Source organism: Homo sapiens, chromosome 3 (genome assembly GCF_000001405.40).
Source record: "Homo sapiens chromosome 3, GRCh38.p14 Primary Assembly".
Taxonomy (NCBI): Eukaryota; Metazoa; Chordata; class Mammalia; order Primates; family Hominidae; genus Homo; species Homo sapiens.
In genome coordinates, this window is record NC_000003.12 from 158,760,833 (window position 1) to 158,788,316 (window position 27,484).

General features: G+C 41.3%; 1 long non-coding RNA gene and 1 pseudogene across 1 annotated transcript in view, besides 1 other annotated feature; both read left to right on the forward strand.

The window, feature by feature from the left end:
* Nucleotides 1–23,720, forward strand: part of LOC100287290 (uncharacterized) — a 52,192-nt gene extending 28,472 nt beyond the window's left edge. Inside the window, exon 5 of the long non-coding RNA NR_171782.1 lies at nt 23,047–23,720. This is a non-coding gene — a long non-coding RNA (uncharacterized LOC100287290). The remainder of the gene's footprint in view (nt 1–23,046) is intronic.
* RPL35AP9 (ribosomal protein L35a pseudogene 9) lies at nt 2,538–2,973 on the forward strand (annotated as a pseudogene).
* Nucleotides 7,635–14,751: an enhancer, noted in NCBI's record as "VISTA enhancer hs1990". NCBI's record gives its function as "enhancer in: pancreas[4/9]" and the evidence as "EXISTENCE:transgenic organism evidence [ECO:0001131][PMID:17130149]".
* Nucleotides 23,721–27,484: the final 3,764 nt, after the last annotated feature.

The window sequence follows — 27,484 nt, forward strand, 5'->3', positions numbered from 1 at the left end:
AGGGAAGCTGATTTCCTGTCTTAATCAGAGAAAACCTCAGGATTGATCTGGAGCAAAATAATGATTTCAAGTGGTTTAGGAACCGTGATGAAAGGACATAGGCATTGACCTAGAGAGCTCCTGCCTGCCTTTGGAAATGTGAACGTGGCCCTGAAAATGATAATTATAGTTCATTGAAAGAGTTGAATTTGTAAAAAGTTCATAATATTTATAACAGAAAAACTAAAAGTTCAATAAAAAAGGAAGTCATAATAAGAGTGTGGATGCACTGCTGTGTTTAATTTTGTGTTGATTGTGGTAAGATGAGATGAGTAATCCATGTGGGGTTTCTCCTTCTGTTGGGCTACGTCTACTTGCCCACTTTGGGTGTGGATGTGCACGTGTTTCTGTCGATGTGGAGAGAAGGAGAGCATGGCTGTGTTTGGCTCTGGCCGCGTCGGGTGGGCTCTGTGTGTTGGTAGGAAGGTAGGCTGTGGGCTTCCTGCAAGGCAGTGGTGGCACTGGCTGGTCCCTTTGCCTTGTTTCACACTCCTGCTTTAGGTCTCAGCTTAACGGTCTGTTTCTCAGTAAGCTTGCCACCCAGACTAGTTTACCTCTCTCAGAACCTTTCCCTTGAGAATTTATCACAATAGGCAGTTGTGCAGTTATGTGTATGATTATTTGATTAACGTCTTCCTCTCCCACTGAGCTGTGATCTCCATATGGGCAAGGCCCATGTCTGTTTTGCTCACTGTGTTATTTCCTAATACCTGGCACAGGTACATCACAGGCTCTCAATAAACGCTTGAAACATGAATCAATGGCATAGTGCTGTACCATCCTTTATAAATGTAACATTTGGCTTCATTCCCCACCAGTACAGCATATAATTAACATGCAAATTTCTACCCCTAACACAGTAAAGGTTTACTCTTGAATTTTATTCTCTATAACTTAACAGTAGTTTGATTACTTTAACTTTTGCATCTCTGTCCTCCAGAAAAAGAGAATAATCATAGACTCATGGCACTAAAGGGGACCCTGTTATCTCAACTGGACAATTTAAACATTAGACTAATATTAAGCAATCCAGTCAAGATAAATGAGCTTCCTAAAGTTTCGGCAAGGCAAGGAGGTGGGGAAGGGAGAGCGCCCTGGGTTGGGGGCAGCATGTGCAGAACTCTGCCGTGGGACGATGCCCATCTGGAATGCTTGAGGAGCTCATAAAAGGACAGAGTGGCAGGAGCAGGATGGGGAAGGTGAAGTGGGAAAGTGGGCAGAAGTCAGATACCCCTCTGATGGGAATGTTCCCTTGCCTCCAGTCATATGTTGAAACCTAATCCAAACGAGTATTAAGAGAAGCTCACATGAATGGAATTAGTGCCTATAAAAGGCACCCAGGGAACTCATTTTTCTCTTCTGCCATGTGAGCTTACAGTAAAAAGACTCCTGTATATGAGGAAATGGCCCTCACCAGACACCAAATCTGCCAGTGCCTTGATCTTGGACTTCTCAGCTTCCAGAACTGTGACCAATAATTTTTTTTTTTTTTTTTGGTAGTTACGCAGTCTAAGATACTTTGTTACTGCAGCTCAAATGGACTAAGACAGATACCAAGTTACAAAGACCATATTAGGTATTCGGCCTTTGTTCTAAGAGTGATGTGGGGCCATTCAAATGTTCAGGTAGAGGTGTGTGTGTTCAGACTGTGTCTTCAGAGGCTCACTGACTGCCCTGCTGTCAATTGTGGACAGGCAGAGTGGACGCACAGTACCCTCAGTGAGGAGGGTATGACTGCAACACTTAGCACTCAGTCAGGATGGAGCTCCTCCTCCCCCATGCTGTCCACCACCTCAGAGCACATCAGGTTACGTGATATTTGTAAAAATGACCTTTCTCAGCAACGCAGTGCACTGGACCCATGGTGGGGCCTTGAGGGGCTTCTAAGGTTTCAAAAGTACCCCAGGAGTGTTCAGTATTATAATTATTACTGACTCAAGGGGGGTGAGGCCTCCTAAATCGCAATGACCACATCCTGCTACACCCCTCATATCCTTTTTGAGTTCTCTCCAACCCTAACTCTACTTTTCCTGAGAACATGATCCTCCAGAGCCCAAGGGAGTATGGCCTTTGGCCGTATCTTGAGAAATCTTAATACTTTATAAAATTCAATTCTGTTTCCTCCTACTGACCTGCAGAACTTTTACTTACATCATTTGAGGATTAATTATGAAATTTAGGAAGATGTCCAGGTAAACAGATACGCAGTCTTTCAAAATCTCAATAGTGAGAAGTGAAGTAATTTTTCGCTGGTGGAATTATTAGTGGAGCTATTTTTTTTGTAGTGTTAATTTTTCATCACAAATAGTAGGACACCAACCTTCTGGAAATTCAAGCTAGTTTTAAGGAATTGGAGTAAGATTTAGGACTACATGTATCACTACGTCTTAGATTCAGCAATTAAAACAGTTTATTTTGGGATACATTGTATAAGATAGTACTTTGTTCTTCTCTAATGAAACAGAGATTCTTATTCTATCAAAAGATATCAAATTCATTCTTTTTGCCCTCTTGGAGCCTGGAGAGGCCCATGGGAACAGGGCTTCTGAAACAGCAAACATGTCTGCAGGGCTGTGCCCTGAGGCCACTTTTGCTAGAAGTGACATTTCTGGAACCAGAGGGAGCACACAACTGTTCTTGAAATTGAAGGTGTTTATGCCCGAGATGAAACTGAATTTTATTTGGGAAACAGATGTACTTATGTGTGCAAAGAACAACACAGTGGCCCTGGCAGCAAATCAAACAAAACCAGAGTCATCTGGGGAAAGGTAACTTGTGCCCAAGGAAAGAACAGCGTGGTTTGTGCCAAGTTCCAAAGCCACCCTCCTGCTAAGGCCATTGGGCACAGAATCCATGTGATGCTGTACCACTGGAGGATTCAAATTCATTGAAAAGTAAATAAATACAATTTTAGGTTTGTTAATTTGAAAAAACATGTGGGTATCTAATTTCTATGTGTTGGCAGGGCCAAACAGTGAAACACGGAGCTTCAAGGCGAAGGCAGCTTGTTAGGGTCCCTCCTTCTGACCTGCCCTTGGCAGCACATAGACAACCTGCCTACGAGGTCCTTCCCCCACTGCTGCACTGTCGCAGGGGGTCATTGATAGGTGTCTTATTTTTTATTTATTTTTCAGACAAGGTCTCACTCTGTAGCCCAGGTTGGAGTGCAGCGGCACCATCAGAGTTAGCATGGGATGAACTGTTGGAGAGAGGGCTGGACAATAGGACTGGACTAAGGGATCTTAGTCCTTACTAAGGAATATAGGCTGCAGTGGGCATCTGTTGTGTACCTCAGCAAGAAGCAAGGACCAACTCTTAGTTCTCTGAGGTGAATTTTCGGGAGTGATGGGGGAGATGTTTTGAGGACATCCTGAAACCACACCATAGGTGCCTCTGTAACCAAGTGGAGAGAGGCCCTTGGTTATAGAGTTAGGAGAACATGGATGCCTCTGGTACACAAAAAACCCTGCAGTGGGGGCTTAACTTCCATGCTTGGGAAGGTCCCCACTTGCCTTCCTGGTCTTGAGGGATTCTCAGATGGTGGCCTGCCTGCAAGTGGCTCCTCCATTGTGTTCTGTTAGGAGGGAGGGATGTATTGATGGAGACTGAGTGGAAGTGTTTTTGAAAACTTGTGTTTGGCTAAAAATAAACGATCAGACTTAAATGCTGCTTGGAAATCATTCTTTGTTTTACCAGTCAACTTTCCCTCCTATTCTTCATGGTGGTTACCTTAATATTTATTCTGTACCAACCTCCCAACCTAATTCCTCCACCATCACTTTAAGCAACCACTCATGCCTTTTACCTTTCAGAAAAAATAAAAGCCTCTTCCTGCCACCAAACTTACAAACTGACTAGCTCCACCCCATTCTCCTCTTTTTGTTGTGATGGAAGGAGAGTCCCTCCTCCTCTCCAGGGTGAATCCCTGCACATGCACTCTGTGCTCTTTCTCCTCTAGCTTCTCCCTTTCTATAATCTTCTCTTTCTCTATTTCTCCTGCCCCTTTCTTTCATTTCATTGTTTTAAGCATGCTTAAGTGTTGCCCATCTTCAACCAGCAAACTAAGCAACCAACCAACCACTTCTTACATGGAAAAACAGGCATTCTTATTCCTGGTTAGTAGCATGTAAATTGGTGCAACTTTTTGGAAAGGAAATTGGCAACACCTAATGAAATTTAAATGTCCATGCCCTTTGATCCAGCAACTCCACTTCTACAATGCATTTTAAAAGTGCATTTGCACACACTGAGACATGACTGAGAATGTTCACTGTGGCACTGTAACAAACAGCGCAAATATCCATCAACATGGATTTGGATTGCCATGTAGCTATTAAATAGAATGTGGTTGAACTGGATATTATCTGTGTATTATTCAATGTTCTTCAGAGAAACAGAACCAGTAGAGAGCCTCTCTCTCTCTCTTTCTCTCTCCCTCGCACACACACACACACGCACTCACGCATGCACACACACATCTATCTAAATTATAAATCCTCCACTGGGGAGGTCACTGGAGGACCATCAGCAGAGGAAGGGTCATCTCTCCCAGCTGTGTCAGGAGAAAACCAGATGACTTCCAATGTCCTGTGAGTCTAACTTTTTATATCATTAATATAACATTGTCAATAAAGGTTTAAAGCTTAATTTAGAAAAGAAGCATAGAATGTGCTTTATCATTGAGAAGGCCCTGGTAGTACTGTCCCCCGAATGACCTGAATCTCTCTGGGTTCCTGGCAACAAGCCACTGGGCACAGGGCTTCTACCCTGCCTAAGGAATTTCCATGGCTCACTTCCTCTAGAACCCTGGAAGGGGGACCCTTGATCAGCTGGCAGGAGATTCATCTCCACTAAGAGGCTTCCTTCCCACAAAAGCCTCCAGTCACATCCTTGGTTAGGTTTTGCCGCCTGCTCTCAGTCTCAAAGTCTATAGCAAAAGGCAGAGCTGCAGGGGCTCCTTCTCCTGGAGCACAAGACAGGCTGCATCTGGGGTGCCTGGTTTAAGTATATTTTTCTTGGGTGATGAGTGGCTTGGAAAGGACATGCATCATCTTGCTGCCCTCCTCTGCTAATTTAAGCTGCACAATGCTTGTGGTGTTTGCGTCAGCTCTTAATTTTGACAATGCAAATAACTAGGGCAACACTGTCCAATGGACCTATCTGTGATGTTGGAAATGTTCCATAATATCTGTGCTGCCAAATATGGTAGTCACTAGTCACATGTGGCTATCAAGCATGGGAAAGGTGGCAGGTATGACTGAGGAAGTGAGTTTTAAATTAAATTTAAATTCATTTAAATTTAAGAAAGCACATGCAGCTAGTGGCTGCTGTGTTGGGCAGTGCGGCTCTAGGCCCTTGAACAGAGTTAGCGTGGTCTTGGTTAAGCTCTAGCCTTGGAATGTTAAACTGATCTTCTTGAAATGTGCTCTGATTCTTCAGCTGGAGAGCTAGTATTAACTGTCTGTATTACCTTTAAACCAACCAATTAATCCATCAACTAACCAGTTTACACCCCCTGCCCACCCCCTGACTTTCATGGCTTTCACAGCCATCTCTATGCTGATGCCTTCCAAATCCCAGATTTTCTGCTGAGCTCCAGACCCAAATGCACAACCATGTGATGGACATCTGTCTACACTTGGATGTCCTACAGGTGACTCAGATTCAACCAGCTCAAACAAAATCATTGTCTTCCCACTTTCTCCAAACCTGTTTTTCTTCTACGTGCTCTAGCTCAGGAATGGCACCTCCATTCTCCCACTTGCTTGTACTAGAAACCTGCAGCTTGATCTTGACTTCCCCCCCTCTCTCATCCATCTCATTCATTCAGTTTCCATGATCTATAAATTCTGCCTCCTAAATGATTCTTAAATTCTGCTACTTCTCATCATCTCCACTACCACTCCCCTGGTTTAAATCACTATTTGATATTTCTAAAATGCAAATCTGATCATGTCCCTTCCTTGCTTAAATTACTTCAGTGACTCCCGATTTCTCCCAGGATAAAGACAAACCTTCTAACACGATCCCTATGTGATCTTCCCCTGGCATCTCTTACCTCCCCTTTGGCTACTTCTTCCCCTTGCATTCTCTGTTCTAGGTTTATTCCAAATAAATCACAGCATCTCTCGCCCACCTGCTTTGGCTTAATGATTGCTACTTATCTTTTAGGTGTCAGCATTTAGAGGTTACTTTCTCTGTGGCGATCTGGGCCACATGTTCCTCTCTGTGCCCCCACAGGACCCTGCAATTTCCAGCTCCTCCATGTGACTATAGGTTCCTTGAAAGCAGAGCTTTGTCTGTCTTATTTACCACTGACACATAGTTGGTGTTAAGCCTCCATAACAGAATCCTTAAATGGAGCATGTTTGGGGCAGGGCTTATGGGGATCTTCCTCCTGTGACTTCTTCAGCTGCTTTCTGCACTCATGGAGATTTTCCTACACGCCAAATCTATGCTAGAGGGCCTGCGTGGTTCAAGGAAAATGGCAGCTGGAGCCCTGTCCTCCTGGTGCTGATCTCAAGAAGTACTTCGTTTGGAAAGAGCAAGAAGAGAGGCCTTTCTCCCTACACCTGAACATAGAGCCACTAGGTTAATCAGCATAAGTTCTCAGGGCAGCCTCAAACAAATTGGTGGAGTCTATGTAAGTTCACAGGATGGACAAATGTATGTGAACAGAACACAAAATAGAAATTGCCAACAGTTTCTCATATTGTGGTATGATAAGCTTACAGCCATCAGGTGCAAGGTTTTAATTTTTTATTCTTATTTATTTATTTTGAGACAGAGCCTTGCCCTGTCACCCAGGCTGGAGTGCAGTGGCACGATCTCTGCTCACTGCAACCTCCGCCTCCTGGGTTCAAACGATTCTTCTGCCTCAGCCTCCCAAGTAGCTGGGACTACAGGTGTGCGTTGGGATTACCGGCATAAGCCACCGCACCTGGCCTAATTTTTTATTGTTTAAAAAATATTTTTTGAGGGTCTCCTGTGTGCGTCTGTTCTAGATGCATGTAGTTAGAGCTGAGCACTCCAAAATGCACACAAGCAGCCAAGTCTCCGGAATTAACTGTCCCACAGAATGCAAGAGCCTTTTAAAGACTGTGCTCCTCTTATAGTCATCTGATTTCCCAAAGTCAGAGAGGTTGAAATGCAAAGAGTATGCATTTTGCTAAAAAGGAATATTTATAAAACTGAAAGTGTATTGCACCTCCTGATATTTTTATGAGTAAATAAAAGCAAAGTAGCCAGAGCTAAAGAAATGCCTTTAGTAAAGACTCTACACTTGGAAGTCTGAGCAATTGCAGAGTGAGACCAAGAGTTCTCCTCCATTAGGATACTCCTCCTACAACTAGGAAGGGGCTGCTCTGATATTGACTAATGGGGCTGACATTGGACCTGGTGGTTTCCTGAGCACACAGGAGAGGAGACACAGAATTCCAGCACTAGAAAACACCAAAAAAAGGGGTCCAGATCAGGGAACAGTTTCTCAGTTACTGATGGACAATGGTTTAATCATTATTCCAATGGGAAGAAGTACCCAAGGTTGGTGGTGGGGGCGGGAGTTGGGAAAGTAGGGAATCAATTGACTTCTGCAGTCACTGTGAGTGAGCAGGACAGGCAGCTGGCCAGTGCCCCTCCCACTTCCCTGCCGGCAGAGAAGGAAAGAGAATGGCTGTTTCTCTGCCTTAGAGTTAAAGCACCAAGGGAAACATGAGAATGCTTGCGGGAAGCCGACCACGTTTGCTCTTTGCTGACTTTTGTTAACAGGTGTCAGTTGGTGTGACACTGTCTTCCCTATTCCCATCCTCGGCACGAACACATATGTGGGAAATACTCTAGGATTTGCAGCCAGTGTTGGGAAAGCCTGTCCACTCCACACCAGGCCCACAGTAGCTCCTTCCTCTGCACCCACAACTCGGCTGTCTGTGGTCACTGGTTTAAATTTTCCTTTATTCACATTTTGCCTCCCCAAATGGATTGTAATACTTTTGAAGATGGGGAGTATCCCTGGCACATCAGTGGTGCCCACTTCATACATAACAATACACACAGAGGTCGTTAAAACTCTGAGTGAATCGGATAGAAGTGCTGGAGCCAAACAGTGTAGTACCTAATGTGTGTTAGGCACTCACAATGCATGAAGAATAATGGGCTTGTCTATTGTTCATTCGTTCACTCTTTCATTCATTTGAATGTGTGGGAAATGCTCAGTCCATTGGGTCAGTAGAGAAGCCACTCGCAGTTCTTCGTGTTGGTAAGAAAGGCTCAAGGGATAGACCCTCTGCACTAATACCCCCGCATATCTGCATCTACTTTGTCTCCTTTCTATTTGTTATGACATTTTTGGCTTAAAAAAGAAAAGATGAAACAGAGTTCAAATGAAGTTCATTGTGTGTTTCCTCACAGCTTACACTTGGCAATCTTCTAGGGAGGACTTTGGCTGAACCCAGTGAACCAGGAGGAAAAGAATCACAAACATCTGGAGTTTGTTGACTAGAAAAATTCCTTGTGGTCTGACAGATTACCATTTCCTACCCAGCCATTCTCATCAGAGAAACCAGTCCCATTTTCAACTGGCGCGGCTAGTTGAAAGTTCCACATGTTTCCCCAGGTATCTAAATTATATGCTTCTGTGTTGATTTTTCAGATTAGGCAGAAACTTTGACTTCTTCCTATGAAAGATGAAGATTGAGCACTTTTGTTCCCCTATTCTTCCAATGTAATTATATTGTATTTTTTAATTAAGTAACTACTCAAAGTTAACTGTTGTGATTATTATAAATGTTTTCCCCGGTAAGGCACACAGTGTACACTGATAATACTTCCGTTGTTATACAACTTCTTTTTCTCCCTGGAGTTCAAAATTATCTTGTTTTGATATTTTTCTGTCCCTAATTCTCCTCCAACGCATTGCCAGCAGTGTTAATCTCCTCTTAATAGTTCAAACACATCAGGTAATCAACTGATTTTTTATTTTTAACACATCCCCTCTGGAGCCCATTGGCTTCCTGCTCTGATGTGTCGTTCAGTTCTCCTTAGTTGGATCCCTCTCTCTTGAATCCTTTGTATGCCTTTTTCCTGGTTTGCTCTTTCATTTTGTGGAATATATCCTCCAGTACCTTCCCAGTAAAGCCTGTTTGGATTCTATTGGATTTTTTTTTCCTGTTTTTATATTTTTTTAGAACTGAGAGCTCATTTTTGTTTTATGAGTAGTTTGTTCTTTTTTGTAGATGCAGTTATATTCTTTCTCCGAAGATATTAATTACAGTTTTCCTTAAAGTTTATTCTGCTTTTTGTGCTGTGTTGGCTTTCTCTGAATATGTATATTTGATTATAATCCCCAGTAGTCATTGTTTATAAGTCTTTTCTTTGAGGAGCTCAGTTTCTCCAGAGAAGAAATTTGTAGCCTGTCGCCCCATGTGTCTAAGCTGAGTCACCAGGATTCTCAGATGCAGTGGCGAAAGGCTGCAGGCTGTTCTCGCCATTCAGCATGCTGACTTGGCCCTTATCCCCTTCTCTGGTATGTCTTCTGTAGGATGAGAGAGGTGCCTTGTCTGATGGGAGTGGAGAAGCGATCAAAGGATCAAGCTGTATTTAGTATAGCCTTTTAACCAACACCCCACAACCAGAGAGGTTCCTGGGGCCTCCAATTCTATGCCTACCAGGTGCTCCGGGGCCAGTCTGTTGTCTTCCTGCCTCCTCTCTGCAACCTGTGCCTGGTCTCTAAGTTACTCATCATTTACCACCTGCTTTCCGGTTTCCGACATCGTGTTTACCTCTCTCTCTCCACACTTGCTCCTTTCTCTTTTAGCCTTGTCCTTGAGATGGTTTGTTTATTTGTTTTTTGCCTTTAACAAAATCTCGATACTGTAGTGAATTTTGGGGGTGGGAATATAGGCAAAAGACAATGTTCAGCCCACCATTGTTATGGTTTAAATGTGTCCCTCAAGTTTCATGTGTTGGAAACTTAATCCTCAATGCAGCAGTGTTGACAGGTGGGACCTTTAAGAGGTGATGAGGTCATCAGGACAGTCTTAATGCCATTATCTTGGGAGTGGGTTAGTTACTGTGGGAGTGGGTTCCTGATAAAAGGATGAGTTTGGCCCTGTTTTCTCTCTCTTTCGCTTCCACCAGAAAATGGCATAGCCAGAAGGCCCTCACCAGATTCCAGCACCAGCCTCCAGAACATGAGCCAAATAAATCATCGTTTATAAATTACCCAGTCTCAGGTATTCTGTTTTAGCAACACAAAACAGACAAAAACAACCATGTTTACTTGGCTGGTTGCCCCATCTTTCTTGAATGGAAAAAAAAAAAGCACTTGAAATAGTCTGTGGAAATTCTACCCAGTTTGGAAATGCTGCTGAATTCTCATGTCTCTAGGCCCAGTTCACAACCCTCACTGAGCTGATGCTACCAGGTAAAAAGCGAGCAATTACGGTGTGCTGACCATTTGAGTGAATAAATTAGTCAGGTGTTCACTGGTAGCACTGTTGACTCCTCTGAAAGCTAATGGACTCCGAAAACTCAGAAGAGGGGAGAGTACAGCAGCCTTAGTAAACTTGGGAGAAGTGGCTTCCATATCTGATTGCAAATTAGAATCACCTAGGAAGTTTTCAGAATTATAGATTCCTAAGGATGATTCCAGAACTAGTTGAATCCTAAGCTCATGAGCTAGGTCCTGGATAAACTGCATTTTTACCAACAAACTACCCACTTACAGCCTTCTTGTTGTGTGAAAGAATACACCTGTAGTGTTTAAGGCACTGTTAATCATATCTTTTGTTGCTTAGAGCTGAAAGTGTTCCTAACAGATCTGCAGGGCTCATGAGAGTCCTTAGACACTGGAATGGGGAGGGTGTGTTCATTCAGGGGAGTGTGGATATGTAATCAGGGCTTGGCAAACATCTCTGGGAATATGCAACCAGCTGAGGGGCTCCTGGGGCTCCCAAGACTTCCAATGTGGACCTGCTCCTCACCATGTGCTCCTCCCCTCCCTCGGCCCAGCACACCTTACTCTGGTCTCCCTGGAGGCACTGGGATAGGGCTGTCTGTATATCCCTGTCCCTGGTCCACATGTCTCTGTGCTTTGTGCCCCAAGCCTTGCTTTTTTGATTCTTGGATGCTGTTTTAGAGTCACAAATATGAACGTTGACATTTTTGGCTCTTTTCAGTCCCTCTTTACCAACTGTACTCTTGCGTGAGGCTGTTTGGTCACTGTACAAGGAAGTGAGCAAAGAAAAACCCACAGATTAATATCTCAAGATAATATCTTGCCATACATATTGATAACAATCAGCCCATTGTTGCATCCACCCCTACCCTACCTTCAGCAAGATAGCTGGGTTCACTCCCAGAAACTGCTGGAGGCAGATTATGCGGATCCCACAGAGATGGCAGAAAACAGAGAAATCTGGGGAGAGGGCAGTGGCTGGAGCCCAGGGACTAAAGAGTGCAGTGGGGGTTTTTTATGGCCTTGGGGTAGGGAGTGAACTCCAGAGCCAAAGTCCCAAGTCAGGGAGGCAATGGTAGACAGTATAGTCCCAGAGGGGTGTGCTCATGGATGCAGGGGAGGTAAGGGCTGTGGGTGGGGGTTCCAAGCAGCTCTTTTTATTGAAGAAGTCACAAAGGCAGCCCAATTTCAAGGGGAAGGGAAATAGATTCTATCTCTTAATGAGGGAGTAGAAAGTTTCTGGATGAGCATGTGGACTCAGAAACATTTTGTGGCCATTTTTGGAAGATACAATCTACTACAGCAAACATCCCACTAAAAGGCTGGTGCCTTGGGAACAGTAGGATAATCAGACTTTCACATGGCAGTGGGAATTTGTTTCAATTCTAATGGCTAGCTGAAGGGAAGGGGTAATTTTTGACTAGGGTTAGAAGATACTGGTTTGAGAGCATTCGGGGGGCAGGCCAGGCCACTGGGGAGATAACCTAGTTTAAGACTTGGAGTCTGGGGTGCAGGAAAGAGTGAAGAGGAGGGGACGGTTGTAGCACCCTGACATGAGCCTGCTCATCCCTTGGGGTCAGCATTTCTCACCTGCCCCTATTGGTTTCTGCACAGCAAGCCTCGCACCCCCTGTGAACACTCTTCAGAGACTCCTGCGGTGCTTCTCTCTCTTCCTGTTACCCGTCACCCCTCGTTCATTCCTATCCTTCTACCTCTGCACAAGGTGCTCCCTTTAGGGGTCCCACAGTGTCCTGTATATCCCTCTCTTGTTGGGCTTATTAGTCTGAACTGTCACATACTGGTTCTTTGTCCATCACTAGTACAGGGCTGTGAGCTAATTGAGAGTAGGAACTGTGATTTTGACCCCTGTCTTCCAAAATGTCTAGCAAAGTGAGAGGCCTCAGTCATGTTCACTGAATGAATGAATGAATTCTCCAGCACTCATTAGGCCCTGAGACCACTTATCTCTCCCATCAGAGGCCAGTGATATTTCTGAGGCTGAAAATGTTCTCCTCTACTCTTTTCCAGCAGTCAGCTCTCTTGGGCTCACCAAGAACCATGTCAACAGCCAGACTTGCTGCACTGCTGATATATGCAGCTCCCTTATCACAGCCTCCCAGTTCTTGTCTTTCCTTTCTTCTGTTACAGGCTTGTTTTTCACCATCAGGGTGACAAGGTCCCTCAGATAGAAAGTGGCAAGACCACAATTTGCACCCAGGTCCAAAAACCCCTGGTCTCTGCCTTTTATTAGCAGTGTGACTCCCGCGGCCGACTCTTCCCAGCCTGTGTTCTAAACATGCACCCTCACCCACATCAGTTCTTCCCTCTCTTCCTTACATTTTCAATTGCTCTCTCTATTGCTTCCTTCCCCTTAGAATATAATTATGTGCAAATGGCTCCTATTTTAACCCATTTCCACCCATTGACCAAAAGTTCCTTTCTAAATATTGCCTGTTTTGCTTTCACACCCAAGTTTCTTAAAAAGCATCCTGTGTCTCTTTCTTATGAACACTGTGCCCTGCTGTCTTCCTTTTCCTCTTTTCCATGTTTCTGCGATGGGCCAATTACCCCCTGGATGACACATTCTTTCTAGGGGGTTTCATACATTCAAGTTTTCTTGGCTTGAAAATCGCTCATCTTTTCAAGGTAGACTTTTCAGCATTCTGTTCCATTCTGGCAGGTGTTATTTTTATGAATTGGCAGTAGGGGGAGATAATTTTGCTTATATAGGTATGGGTTTTTGGCCTCTCATACTATATATTCACATTCTACCTAAGTGGAGTTGACCTGTACAAGGAAAAGATGTGAAGCTGAGTTACCTGGGAGCTCAAGAAACAGAACATTTAGATGAAACACTTGGTTGCTATTGTGCCAATAACTTTTCTCTTTTCCACTCTCCTGAGCAGCAGTGCTGCGGCTTGAACTCTGTGTCATGCTCTTTGCATCAATGCTGGGCAAAGTCAACTTGCTTTCCCGTAAGTAGTAGAATTATGGGAAAGTAAAAAGATTTCTTTCCACCTACCTCATAAGGGAGTGGCTGAAGGCCAGCTTTAATAGAAATGATGCTTTGTTACTCAATATTAACATTTGCAACATTAGGAAATGCAGTTTGAGTGTCTTTGTTTGTACTCTATTATCCGTTCATTATTGTCATGTTCTTCCTTAAAAGAAGGTGGGGCATCTGCTTGTTGGATTCAGGCAGAGCATGATTTTTAATATGTATATTCTTGGTCTTAAGCCACGAAAGTGTTGTAAATCACCAGCAAACAGCACTAAGTATTATCGTCCTCTAGGCACTGAAAATTTGAAATGAGCTGCTGACCCAGATTCTTTGAAGAGAATACTCAGTCATAAAATATTATTTCCTGTATTTAAAAATTACTTTTTTTCACTTCAAAGAAAATGAAGTGAAAAAAAATTCAGTCAAAGAAAATTACCTGGTATTTGTTACCCAGTTATGTGTTTTGGTTGAAAGTTCTTCTAATTAACTGTGAAGGAGTAATGTGATCCTCCTCCACCTTCTTTTTTTTCCAGTGTATTTGCTTCCCCTTTTCATTTTCTAGGTCATGTAAGAAATCTTAAATTAATTGTACAATTTTTTTCCAAGATGCTCAAAATCCTCTAGTTTTTATCATCTGAGTTCAGACATCCATGCATATGCCAGCAAATATTATTGTTTATAATAAAATTTCCTCCCGTAATCATCAAAGAGATAAATCAGATTTCAAATCCCAACATCAATGCGTTCATTTCTCAGAAATACTTCATGCTCATAAACAACTTCCACTTCTGCCCACCCACATGCATCTCTCCTGTGGCTCTGAAACTGCATGGATGAGGAGTAATCAGGGTCCCTCAAACATGGTGCTGGAAATTTTGCATGAAATGAGTTAAGGAGCACAACAGTATGACAAGAACCAGATGGCATACTTTTCCAAGAGGAAGTCTTGACTCTCCCTGATGTACTTACTGCCAGAGAAAAAGTACTATTTAAACTAAAAATTACTGCTTTTGTCTTCTGAGCATCATTTTTCTGGGGTCTTGTAATATAGCCTTAACACTTTTTTCTTAAGTTTTTGGAGTATCTTGAAAGGCCTATATTGACTTTTTTTGTTTTTGTTTTTGGTTCTTTCTTCAAAAGGTGAGGATGAGTGGGAGACAGTAACACTCAGATTGCTGAAACACACAGTACAATAAAAGAAGATGAAACTGAAATGTCAGGGTAGCTCTGGAGAGGGAAGAAGAGCCTGGGAAAGGAGAAGCAGTGGAGATAAGAGCAGAAGGATGGGGAGGACCCAGGGACTGGTGGTGGGATGAGTATGAGATCAGGGCTGCCAGTAGAAAACCCCCAGGGCTTGGATGGCCAAGGACCTTTTAAGAACAATGATTAGCGGTTTTCAATTTCAGGTTGCTGTTGGTGAAGCATGTCCAGGTTCTTGGCATCTTGAACAAAGAATTGGGCAAAACACACAAACAAAGTAAGGGAAGAGTGAGGCAACAAAAGCAGAGATTTATTGAAAATGAAAGTACTGTCCACAGTGTGGGGGTGGGCCCGAGCATAGGGACACAAGGGTCCTGATACACAATCTTCTTGGGTCCAAATACCTCCTAGAGGTTTCCCACTGGCCACCTGGTGTTCACCCATGTAAATGAAGTGGTGGCCTGCAATCAATCTGGTTGCTTTCCACTCAGAGGCTGAAGTGGTTACAAGGGTCACACTCCTATGCAAACTCCTAAGATTCACTTTAGCATGAGAGGCTAAGGTGAAGTTACAAAGTTGCACTTTTATGCAAAGGAAGACTTGGTCCGCAATCAGTCTGATTGGCTGTGGACAGCAACCAGTCAGAGGCTGAAGTGAAGTTATGAAGTTACACTCCTATGCAAACATCTGATTGGTTGCTTGGCACCAATCAGAGATACTTTCAGTTTCCCATCTGCCCTGTAGAAAAGGTGGGGGTTTGCAAAGGGAGTAGCCTCTGGTCCTTTTGTTACTTAGGCATGGAAAGTTAGGGTTTTCCTTTCAATTTAGTTCTATGAAGTCAATGTGAAACAGCCTTAGGTTCCCTGCCTTCAGACCCTATTCTACCTCAAGGTTGTTCTGTTTGGTGGGTACGCTGTGCTCCCTCTGTGTTATCCCAAAACCTTCATGGAGAGCCTGCCATATCTGGCAAATTTGTACAGGTGGATTTGGGGACTGAAGGCAAAAAAGGACCATGTTCACCTGGGAAAGAAGTGACATGAGGGACAAGAAGCAGGGGCATGAGTGGGACCACAGGCCACAACTACCCCCATGCATCCCAGTACCCTGCAGGGTGGCATTGGGAAGGGCTTTGGGATCTTCCCACACAACTCCGGTGAGGTTTGTGTCTGTGCCCGAGAGAAGCTGCACAAGAGGAACGCAGGAGGCCAGGGCTGGGGAGAGCGGCCTGGGGAAGGGTGGGAAGGCTGCAGGGCAGGCCTGGGGGCTGGAGGGGCAGTTGTGGCTGTTAGGAGGGAGTGTGGATCGTGTCACCTCCTGGGTTCCCTTGAGATATTTGGCGGGCTGGACGTGAGGGGGAAGAATCTGATAAAATACTAAGTTCTTTTGACCAACTAAGTTGGAGCATTACAGGCTGGGGCTGTGTTACAGACTGGAAGTGGGGCCTGATTTGGGTCTCTGGAGCTTCTGAGGTCTGGGACATTTGGTTTGCACAAGCCACTGAATCCATTTTTTATGAGAGACAGAAGCTGGATTAAATGATAGCTATATTTCTTTAATTTTTCCTATTCAATAATTGAAAGATATAAATTTCTAGGTCCTCTGTCTCTCCCAATTTGGCCAACACCGGTAGAGAAGCCACTAACTATTTGGTTAGTTTCATTTTACTTTTAGACTTCTAAAGGTACCTGGCTATTTACATTTAAGGGGACCCATCAAGTGCTAAATTTGTTGACTCTTTAATAAAAGAAAATTTTAAGAAAAGAAAAAGGAACTGATATATTTCACAACTGGTAAATTACAGTAAGCTAAAGTCCCATGACATTCCAGAGTGCCTCAACCACCCACAGCACTCTTAGAGATAATAAGGAAATTTCAGACTAACCAAACTTGTCCTGTGTATTTTCTTCCTGTGGTACATATTAGACTACAAAGCTTGCAGTAGAAGAAGAAAAGACAATCACTGTGTACTGCTGGGTTGTGGGTTCTGAAGCAAACTTGAAATTGAAGGTTAAAGCTGGGCAAATGTAGCAGAATGATCTGTTTCTGGAGAAAGTGATTCTAATGCAGAGATTATGGCCTGAGATTTTGAGAGGGGGCAGTGAGTGTTGTGGGGGCAGGCAATGGCCTGCTACGCAGACAGGATGGAGAGAGATAAATGGTCCTCCTGAAATAGTAGCTTTTGGGGTAGATATTACTGGTGACACAGCAGAACTGAGTGATGTACTCCTTGCTGGGGAGGAAACCAGCATTTTAAAATTCGCTACATATTTATGACCCTTTGGACCATAATCCTGGAGACCTTTGCTGTTCTAAGTGTCTGATGAGGACTCCTGAGCTGCCGGGTTCCAAGATGCAGCTGCCAGATTATGTTTATTTTTTGACAAAAACAGGAGCTGGTGGATCTCAAGTCTGGGACAGGGCCCTGGTGTCCTGCTGACCCTGATTGGAATTCATTTAGAAAAATGCAGATGGGCTGCACCGTTTCTTACTTAAGGATATAATATACCCATAATACTTTAAATGAAGTGCTGGAGATGTTTTCTAGAGGTCTCACCTTGCAAGAGATCTAGTGGGCTAGATGAAGCTAACCATCAAACTGCTGCCCCCGTTTGAGTCCCTGAGACAACTTCATGCCAGTCAGGACTCATACAAGTTAGGAGCTTTGTGATAATGAGTTCAGAATTAGTAGTGTTTCACTCTTCAGACTTGTCTTGAATTCTATCAATGACTTCCCTCAGTGGAATTTGTTTATTTATTTTTGAGATGGAGTGTCTCTCTGTTGCCCCGGCTGGAGTGCAGTGGCATGATCTCGGCTCACTGCAACCTCCGCCTCCCAGATTCAAGTGATTCTCCTGCTTCAGCCTCTTGAGAAGCTGGGATTACAGGCATGCACCACCAAGCCCAGTTCATTTTTTGTAATTTTGGTAGAGATGGGGTTTCACCATGTTGGCCAGGCTGGTCTGAAACTCCTGACCTCAAGTGATACGCCTGCTTTGGCCTCCCAATCTCAGTGGAATTTAGATCTGTCAATTTCTTACTTTTTGTATTTTGAAGCTATGTTATTGAGTGTGTTTGGATTTAGGACTGTGATATCTTTCTGTTGGATTCAGTCCTGATCACATAAAGTGCCCCTCTTTATGTTTGGTAACACTTCTTGCATTACAATCTCTTTTGTCTGATATTAGGATAGCTACCTCAGCTCCCTTGTGGTGAATATTTACATGGTGACTCTTTTTCTATCCTCTCACATTCAATCTATTTCTTATACTTAAAATGTGGTTGTTGTAAGCAACATATATTTTTATCCAGTATTACAGTCTTGGCTTTTTACTTGGGTTATTTAGTTAGTTTATACTAAAACTGATACAGTTGAGTTTATTTCTACTGTCTACCATTGGTTTCTATATGTAGACCTGTTTGTTTTATGTTTCCTTTTTTTCTTACCTTTTTTGATTAATAAAATATTTTTTATTATTCTGTTTTACACCTTCACTAACTTGCCATAGACTTCATTACTGTCTGCTTCCATTTCCTCATTGCTAATCTCTGGCTACCTTCAGTTCTGGATTCCATCAGTTGAAGAGGAAAAGTAACATTCTCCAAGTGCTCAGGGTGAGCAATAGATAGTTTAAGCTTAGAAATGAATGGGCTGGAAGGATAAATAGAGATAAATAGAGATGGAAAATCACATTCCATGAGATACATGGTTTTATAATGGAAGGGGCTGCATTTTCAACAACAGAAAAGAGAAATAATGTCAGTTATTCTAAATATTGTATAGTAAAACTTCCTTGGCTCCAAATGTAGCCATGTTTCCCAATTTTCTTACACTTACAGATACGTCTGTCCTTTGAGAAGAAGTCATGCTATTGACATTCTGAAGTCAAAATTAAGCATCACTCATTATTTAATTGCTTAATTTACTGTAATCCTTGGATGAGTTTAGTAAAAGAAACTGGTATTATCTGATACCTGTTCTATCATCTTTCCTCTTCCTGGCTTTCTTTTTGATTTTATTTATTTATTTATTGAGATAGGGTCTCACTCTGTCACCTGGACTGGAGTGTAGTGGCGCCATCTTGGCTTATTGCAACCTCCATCTCCCAGGTTCAAGTGATTCTTGTGCCTCAGCCTCCCGAGTATCTGGGGTTACAGGCAAGCACCACCATGCCCGGCTAATTTTTGTATTTTTAGTACAGACGGGGTTTCACCATGTTGGCCAGGCTGGTCTCAAACTCCTGACCTCAAATGATCCACCCACCTTGGCCTCCCAAAGTGCTGGGATTACAAGTGTGAGCCACCACGCCCGGCCTCTTTTTGATTTTAAAGGAGGAGTTTTTACTTCTGTGTTTCTAAAGCTAATACTCCCAGCTCCTAGCTACCCTTACCCACCTCCTGTGGAATATCACCTTCACATGTTTTGGCATGTTTGCTATCACTCTTTCTGTTTCTCCTCAGAATATATCTTTTGTCTCTCCTGCCATTTCTAGTTACATGCCGTCTCTTGGGTCTCTTTTCCAAGAGGTTTGTATCCTCTACTTTCATTTTCTATTTACTCCTTTCTTTTTTTTTTTTTTTTTTTTGAGATGGGGTCTTGCTGTGTCATCCAGGCTGGAGTGCAGTGGCGTGATCTCAGCTCACCGCAAGCTCTGCCTCCCAGGTTCACGCCATTCTCCTGTCTCAGCCTCCCAAGTAGCTGGTACTACAGGCACCCGCCACCATGCCTGGCTAATTTTTTGTATTTTTAGTAGAGACGGGGCTTCACCATATTAGTCAGGTTGGTCTCGATCTCCTGATCTCATGATCCATCTGCCTCTGCCTCCCAAAGTGCTGGGATTACAGGCGTGAGCCACTGCGCCCGGCCCACTCATTTCTTTTTTTTTTTTAATTTTTCTCAACAGTTTTAATTTCATCAGGTCATTTAAAAAACGGATGCATATAAACACAAAAAGAGTTCAGATTTTGACTTCCTGCTGGCAGAAACATAAAAAGAAAAAAAAAGAGTTCAAATTTGTATGTTTAAAAAATGGATCCATAATAGTTGAACATATTTATAGAGTACAAGTGAGATTTTGATACATGCATACAATATGTATAGAGCTCAATTTTTCTTTTTAATTAAAAATTTTATTATTTACTCATTTATTTGTTGATGTATTAGCTAGGATATTTTCAGCTACATGTGACAAGAAATCCAACTACTAATGTAGCTTAAATAATGAGGACATTAGTAATCTCACATCACAAGAGTTCAGAAATAGGGCTGTTTGAAAACTGGTGAAGTGTTCAGTGATGACATTCAAGACCCAAGCTCTTTTCATCTTTTAACACAACCATTCTTGGTATATTGGTTTTCATCCACAGCCTTATCTTCTCATGGTTGCAAGATGGCTGTCATAACTCCAGGCATCACACTTCATACAACTATGTCCAAGATGGAAAAAAAAAAGTAGTTTTCTTCTCACATAGTTCTTTTCATCGGGAAGGAAAGCATTTCAAAACCTCCTTATCAAACTTCTATGGGGCCATTTCTCAGAATCAGGTCACATGTCCTGGCTGCAAGGACTGAGAAAATGAGTAGATGGTATTTTAATCCTCTATAGTAAGAGATGGTTTTGGTAGCAAGAAAGTGATATTTTGGAATGTTATACTTTGTGGTAAGAAACCAGTGGTGTTTACCACAATTAACTCTTTAAATTTACCTTCTGGTCTTGAGCTCCAGACTCATATAACCAGTTGCTACTGGAAATTTCCACTAGGAAGACCCACTGATGCCTTAAATTCAATGTATCTGCCCTTTCTCCCTGCCCCTGGCTCTTCTCCATACTCCATTTCAGGGAACAGCACCACCATCTATGCAGTGGTCAAGCCAAGAACCTCGGTGTCATCTTTGCCTCCTCTCTTTCTTATCCTTTTTCATCACCTTATATGATTGCCTCCATCACCTAAAGGCCCCTCACATCCGCCCATTTCTCTCCATCTTTATGTCCTCATTGTCTCTATTCTGTATTGTCCATTTCTGAACCACAAAACAGTGCTTAACTCAGAGCAGTAAGTCAGTTTGTGGGATGAATGTTTCCAAATGGGAAACAAACATTTTAAGGTAAACAATGACTACCATCTTGCCTTATCAATTAGCCTCTTTTCACCCATTTTTTGTTGGGTGGGTGGAAGGCCAGATGCAGCAGGATGGGTTATTGACAGAAGAGAATTATAAAGGATATAAAGTATTTTAACTCTCTGTCTGTCCTATACTAGCCTATGCCTCTCTCCTTGTGCTCTCCTCATATTAAGAAACAGAGGATGTTGTCCGGGAGGTCATAATAACCTAAGTGAGTAAAATTCTGAAAGCCAATTTTCGATTCCCAAGTGTATTGGCTGTCTAGAATTTCCAAGGAACTTGATGGATCAGAGTAATGCAAAAAAGCAGGACCTCAAGCCCCAGGGTTTTATAGCACCTATAAAACATGTTTTACAGTTTCTGTTCAATTTTATGCTGTTAAGCTAAATATTTGACATCATATGGCACTTTAAGCACATTGATTTATGGTAAGTCAGCAACTGCATCTGTAATAAAAAGTCCAAAGTATGGGTTTTAAAAGTAATCTGCTGTATTTATTATTGACATAAACAGTTACCTGCAGTCCATTTGAACATCATCTTAGATTTAACTCATGTATTAAAGATATTATGTTTTCCACTCAGCAAGGTCACCTTCAAGGTGAAAACTGTATGTGGTTGAAAATGAAAAAGATCAAGTGTATAAAGATAAATATTTAAAAAATAAATGATATATAGGATTTCATTTTTGTACACTCCTGATTAATAATCATATTCTGTTTATTTTTTACACCCACCTTCTTCTCCCAATCTCCAACTCCAGAAACCACTAATCTGTTTTCCATCTGTATAATTTTGTTATTTCAAGAATGCAATGTAAATGGAATCACATAGTCTGTAACCTTTTGAGAGTGACTCTTTTTTTTTTCACTCAGCATAATTCCCTTGAAGTCTGTTTACTTTTATGTGGATTGTCTGTCTCATGCTTGTTTCACCAGGGTAGTTACAACTAGGGTGGCATAATTTGACTGATTCAAGAACTACTTCAATATAAATCAAAATAAGAGAGTCTAAATTCTAAGTAATTTTTTAACAGGACAAGATTATTTATAATTATGAGTCCATGGTAATGAGTGAGGAATATTTATTTTTAGACAGTGTTAGAGCAAATATGGACAAAAACGCGCCTAGTTCAACTATGACATAGTTGGCAGCATGATTAAAAGAACCACCAAATTTCCCTAATGCCAGTTTGAGTGTTTTAGTAAACATTTGAGAAGAAAATGCCAAAAATGTTGGAAAATACATAATATTTATTTTGCACGTGCCAAATGTGTATTAATTTATGAACATTTATTGTGTTTACCTTGTGTGTGCATGGTAAGCCCAGAAGTCATGGAAAGACAAAATCTGCATGGGCCAAAGGTATAAATTTGTATTGCCTTTCTTTGACTAGCTAATGTGTTTCTTGCTACTGTTCTTAAGATATTGTATGTGGGTTTATATTTGTTTTCAAAAATAAATGGAAAGTTTGACAAGAGCAATTTCTTTTTAAATACCTCAACAGAAGGAGGTCTGCTGTTTGGGGTTGGTTTATTTTAGGGAGCGTGTTACCAGGCTGTGACACAAGGTCTCCAAGGCCACTCCCAGGTTCAGTGATTCTCTAGGAGGACTCACAGGACTCTGCATAAATCATACTCATGATTACAATTTATTACTGAGAAAGGATACACAGCCAAATCAGCAAAGGGAAAAGGCACATGGACTGAAGTCTGGAGGAAACAAGGTACAAGCTTCTAAGGGTCTTTTCCCAGTTGAGTCACACAGGACACCCTTAACTCCCCAAGCAACAAGCTGCGACAACATGTATGAAATGCTACCAACCAGTGAAGCTCATTAGAGACTCGTGCCCAGGGTTTTCATTGGGGGTGATGACATAGTACTTTCTATCTAGCACATACCCAAATTCCTGGCTCCCAGAAGGAAAGCAGGTGGTCAGCATAAACCATATTATTTGTACAAATAGTTCAGGCACAATGAGCCACTCTTATCTACTAATGGAGGGAATCCTCCCCAAATCTAAGTTCCCAGATGCCAGACAAGAGCCAGCCTTGGAAGCTGGTCTTTTCAAGGATAGCAGCTTAGGCCTGCTGTGTAAGTCTTTTCTGTACATAAGCATATTTAGTGTAATGCCTTAGCCTATCAATTTGATCTCCATCTCTCTGACTCCTTTGTCTTTGAACTCAAGTGAATAAGGGAAAAGTGTTATTTATTTATTTATTTTGTTGCCTAGGCTGGAGTGCAATGGTGTGATCTCACCTCACTGTAATCTCCATTCCCCCGGGTTCAAAAGATTTTCCTGCCTCTACTTGCCAAGAAGCTGGGATTCCAGGCATGCACCACGATGCCTAGCTAATTTTTGTACTTTTAGTAGAAATGGGTTCTTGCCATGTTGACCAGGCTGGTCTTGAACTCCTGACCTCCAGTGATCTGCTTGCCTTGGCCTCCCAAAGTGCTGGGATTACAGGTATGAGCCACTGCACCCAACCAAATGTTACTTATTGACCCTCAGCTAAATATTATGGCAGGGACAAATGAACAAGAGAGTGGTTAGGCAAGTAGGCCTCTTTCTCCAAGCATGAGAATAAAAGAAAACAGCAACAACCCAACAACAAACACCAACAAATTAAAACTTTATTATTAAGGATAGTGTCTGAAAAATGGATTTGCTTCACTATCCTTATTGACAAAGTCTATGTTGTGGCTTGAGATATTGATATTGCTGTATGGAATACCTCAATTAAGAAATGTATAATATTGTTTATTTCATTTAAGACTGTCATCTTTTATAATTTTCACATGTGTGTGAATGGGTGTGTATGTCTGCATGCCTGATCATTACTATAAGATACTGGTACTGTGGTAGATGTATACCTTTTGAAACTAAATAAATATACATGTTTTAGAGCTGTGTGCTCAAAACTGCTTTACTAATAGGGGTTTAGCAACCATTGTCTTTGCATCATGTAATTTCAAAACTGGAAGGAATCTAGAGACCTAGTTAAACTCCTTCATTTTACAAATAAAGAAATTGATACCTAGGAAGGTGAAGCTGATTTGTACAAGATGACACAGAAGTTAGTGATAGGGCCAGGCTAGAACTTGGATAATCCTTGAGCCAGGCAGGAATGTTTAACAAAATCTGGTAGGCCTTGGGAGCCACAGTTCTTTTGGGAGAAGAAATGAATGAGTCACCTTTCTCCTTGCCTCTGTTCCTCCTGTGTCATCTTGCTTCTGAAGTCTTCCTCCTCCTTTTCTTCTCTAGGAGGACTGGGCTCCCACAGTTTGCCTCACCTGGAGAGGGATGAGGGAGATTTATGCCCCATTCTGTCTCTGTGGGAGAATTTCACCTTGGAGTGTGCCTGAGACATTGCTAATTGAATATTGGCTGGGACAATGATTGCTCAAAACTGTGCCATGAGTGCATTCATTGTTATACATTTTACTCTTTTTCAAGTATGTAGGCTGAAATTGGAGAGAGCTTAAATTAGTTTGGAGTCTCAGTGTTATAATAATCCCTCATGTTTTCACAGGGCTCACCCAGTTGTACAGTTCTTTTCCTTTACATAGTTTCAATTGGTATTGTTTACAAGCACTCAATTTTGGGATCATTTGTAACCAGAAAACAATGAATAAAATAATGAATTATATTTTACAGCGGCAAAAATCAAGACGCAGGGACATTAAATGATGGCATGTCAGAACAAAGTGCCAAGCAAAGGCTTCAGATTTTTTCCCTCCGCTATACCACAATACTATGATTCTGCATTGTTACTCAGGCCACATACTGTACAGAACCTTATGTAAATTATGGAGGCTTGATTCCAAGTTAATTATTTCAACTACCCCATCTGTAATTTTAGTTTGAATTTACATATGATATTAATATACTATAAACCTCCTCTGTAGAATTTAAAGAGTGTATTCTAAAAAAATTATATGACATGTCAAAGGACATAGAAGAGTCAAAACAGTTTTTGAAGAAGGAGAACCAAGTGGGAGAATTTATATACCTAATTTTAAGATGGACAAAAAAGCTACATTAATCAAAACATGCGGAATTGGCATAAGGATAGACACAAAGACCAATGGAATACAATAGAGAGTCTAGAAGTAGACCCATAAATATATTTTCAATTAATTTTTTACATAAGGTAATTCAGAGGGGGAAAAGATTGTATCTCTAACAAATGATATAGGAGCAACTGGATGTCTAAAAAAGAAATTAAAGGACCTTGACCTTTAGTCACACCATATACAGAAGTTAACTGGATCATATAATTAAATATAGAAGCTAAAATCGTAAAACTTACAAAGCACAAGGGAAAAGTTTTGTGACCTTAAGTTAGGGAAGACTGTCTTAGATAAGACACAAGAACACAGAAATAATAAGAAAAAGGTTAATTGGACTTCATTGAAATTATAAACATAAAATCTTCAAGAATAGAAGATGAGGTTTCTGGAATGGTAGTATGAGTCACTGACAGAAACGAAAGGAGAGATAAATAATTCAACAATGTAATTGGACACTTCAATACCCTACTTGCAATAATGGATAGAAGAGCTAGGCATAAAATCAAGAAGGATAGGAAGACATGAAAACCTCGGAAAACTATAAATCAAAGACACCTAACAGATATCTATTCAGTACTTTACCCAACAACAGCAGAATACCCATTCTTCTCAAGCACACACGGAACATTCTGTAGGACAGACCATATGGTAGGCCACAAGGAAAGCTTCAATGAATTGAAAAGGATTTAAATAATATAAAGTATGTCTTCTGATCAGAAATAACAGAAGAAAATTTAGGAAATTCATAAATATATGGAAATTAAAGAACACATTTCTAAATAACTAATGGGTCAAATAATAAATCACAAGGGAAATTAGGAAATGTTTTGAAATGAATAAACACAAAATACAGAATACTAACATTTATATGATACAACTAAAGTAATGTTTACAGGAAAATTTATAACTAAATGCCTATGTTTAAAAAGAAAAAAATACTATATCAATAACCTAATGTTATACCTCAGGAAATTAGAAAAAAGAAAAAGAAACTAGACACAAAGCAAGCAAGAAGGAGAGAAGTAATAAAAGTTAGCATGAAAATAAATGGAATAGGGAACAGAAAAACCATAGAGAAAATCTACAAAACCAAAAGTTGGTTCTTGAATCAACAAAATTGACAAAGTTTTATCCAGATTGACCACCACCACCAACAACAAAGAGAAGACTCAAATGGCCAAAACTCAAGAATAAAAGAGGGGTTATAACTACCAATATTATTAGTCACTGGAGAAATACAAAGTAAAACTACCATGAGATACTACTATACTTCTATCAGAATGGCTAAAATCAAAATGTAAAAAACCTGACAATACAATGTTGATGAGGCTATAGAGCAACTGGTGGGAATGCAAAAAGCCAAAGCCAGTTTTCATGGCAGTTGGCAGTTTCTTAAAAAGTTAAACATGCACTTACAGAAATTGACAAGTTGATCCTAAAGTTCATATGGAAATGTAAGGGACCTCAAATAGCTAAAACAATCCTGAGAAATAAGCACACAACTCAGTAATCCTACTCACAGGTATTCACTCAAGAAAAATAAAAACATAAGTTCTCAAGAAGACTGTACATGAATGTCCTAGCAGCTGCGATAGTCTGAATGTTTGTATCCCTCCTCAGATTCATATGCTGAAACCTATTCCCCAATGCAATAGTACTAAGAAGTGTAGCTTTTAGGAGGTCATTAGGTCATGAGGGTGGAGCACTCATGAATGGGATTAGTGCCTTTATAAAAGAGGATGGAAGGAGCCTGTTCACCCGTTTGTCATGTGAGGACACAAGAAGGTGCCATCTATGAGGCAGACAAGGAGCCCCCACTAGATGTTGAATCTGCTGGTGCTTTGATTTTGAACTTCACAGTCCCCAGAACTCTGAGCAATAAGTTGCTGTTTATAAATTACACAGTCTAAGGTATTTTATTATAGTAGCCTGAAAGGACTAAGACAGCAGTTTTATTCATAGTAGCCCAAACTGGAAGGGGACTCAAGTGTTCATCAACAGGTGAATGGACAAATTGCTCTATACCCATTGAGTGGAATCCTACTCAACAATAAAAACAAACTACGGATGTACACAAGATTCATTATGAAATTCATTGATAAATTTCAAATGATTTATGCTAAGCGAAAGAAGACAAACACAAAAGACTACATACTCTATGAATCCACTTATATGAAAATCTAGAGAGAGCAAAACTATAATGAAGAAAACCAGATCAGTAGATGACAATAGTGTTCACTACTACTACCTATGTGCAATTAGTATACAATATATATATGAAATATATAAAAATATATGAAATATATATAATAATTGCAATGTGGCAGCAGACTATAATGGCAATGGGCCCTTAGGAAATCTTAACTGATTTTCCATTTCAGCTTTTGAAAAATTATCAAAATTCTACGCAAAATACTATTCCTCTCAAATAACTATGAGTGATTTATCTGGGCAACTCCTACATTCAAGGTTGCTAGGAAGACTCAGTGAAATGGAAGGAAATGGTGTGGTAACTCTTCCAAGCCTCTACTATCCATACAATTTATTCTTCCCTTTAAAAAAATAGTCTAATATTCACAGAGAAAACTTCAAAATCC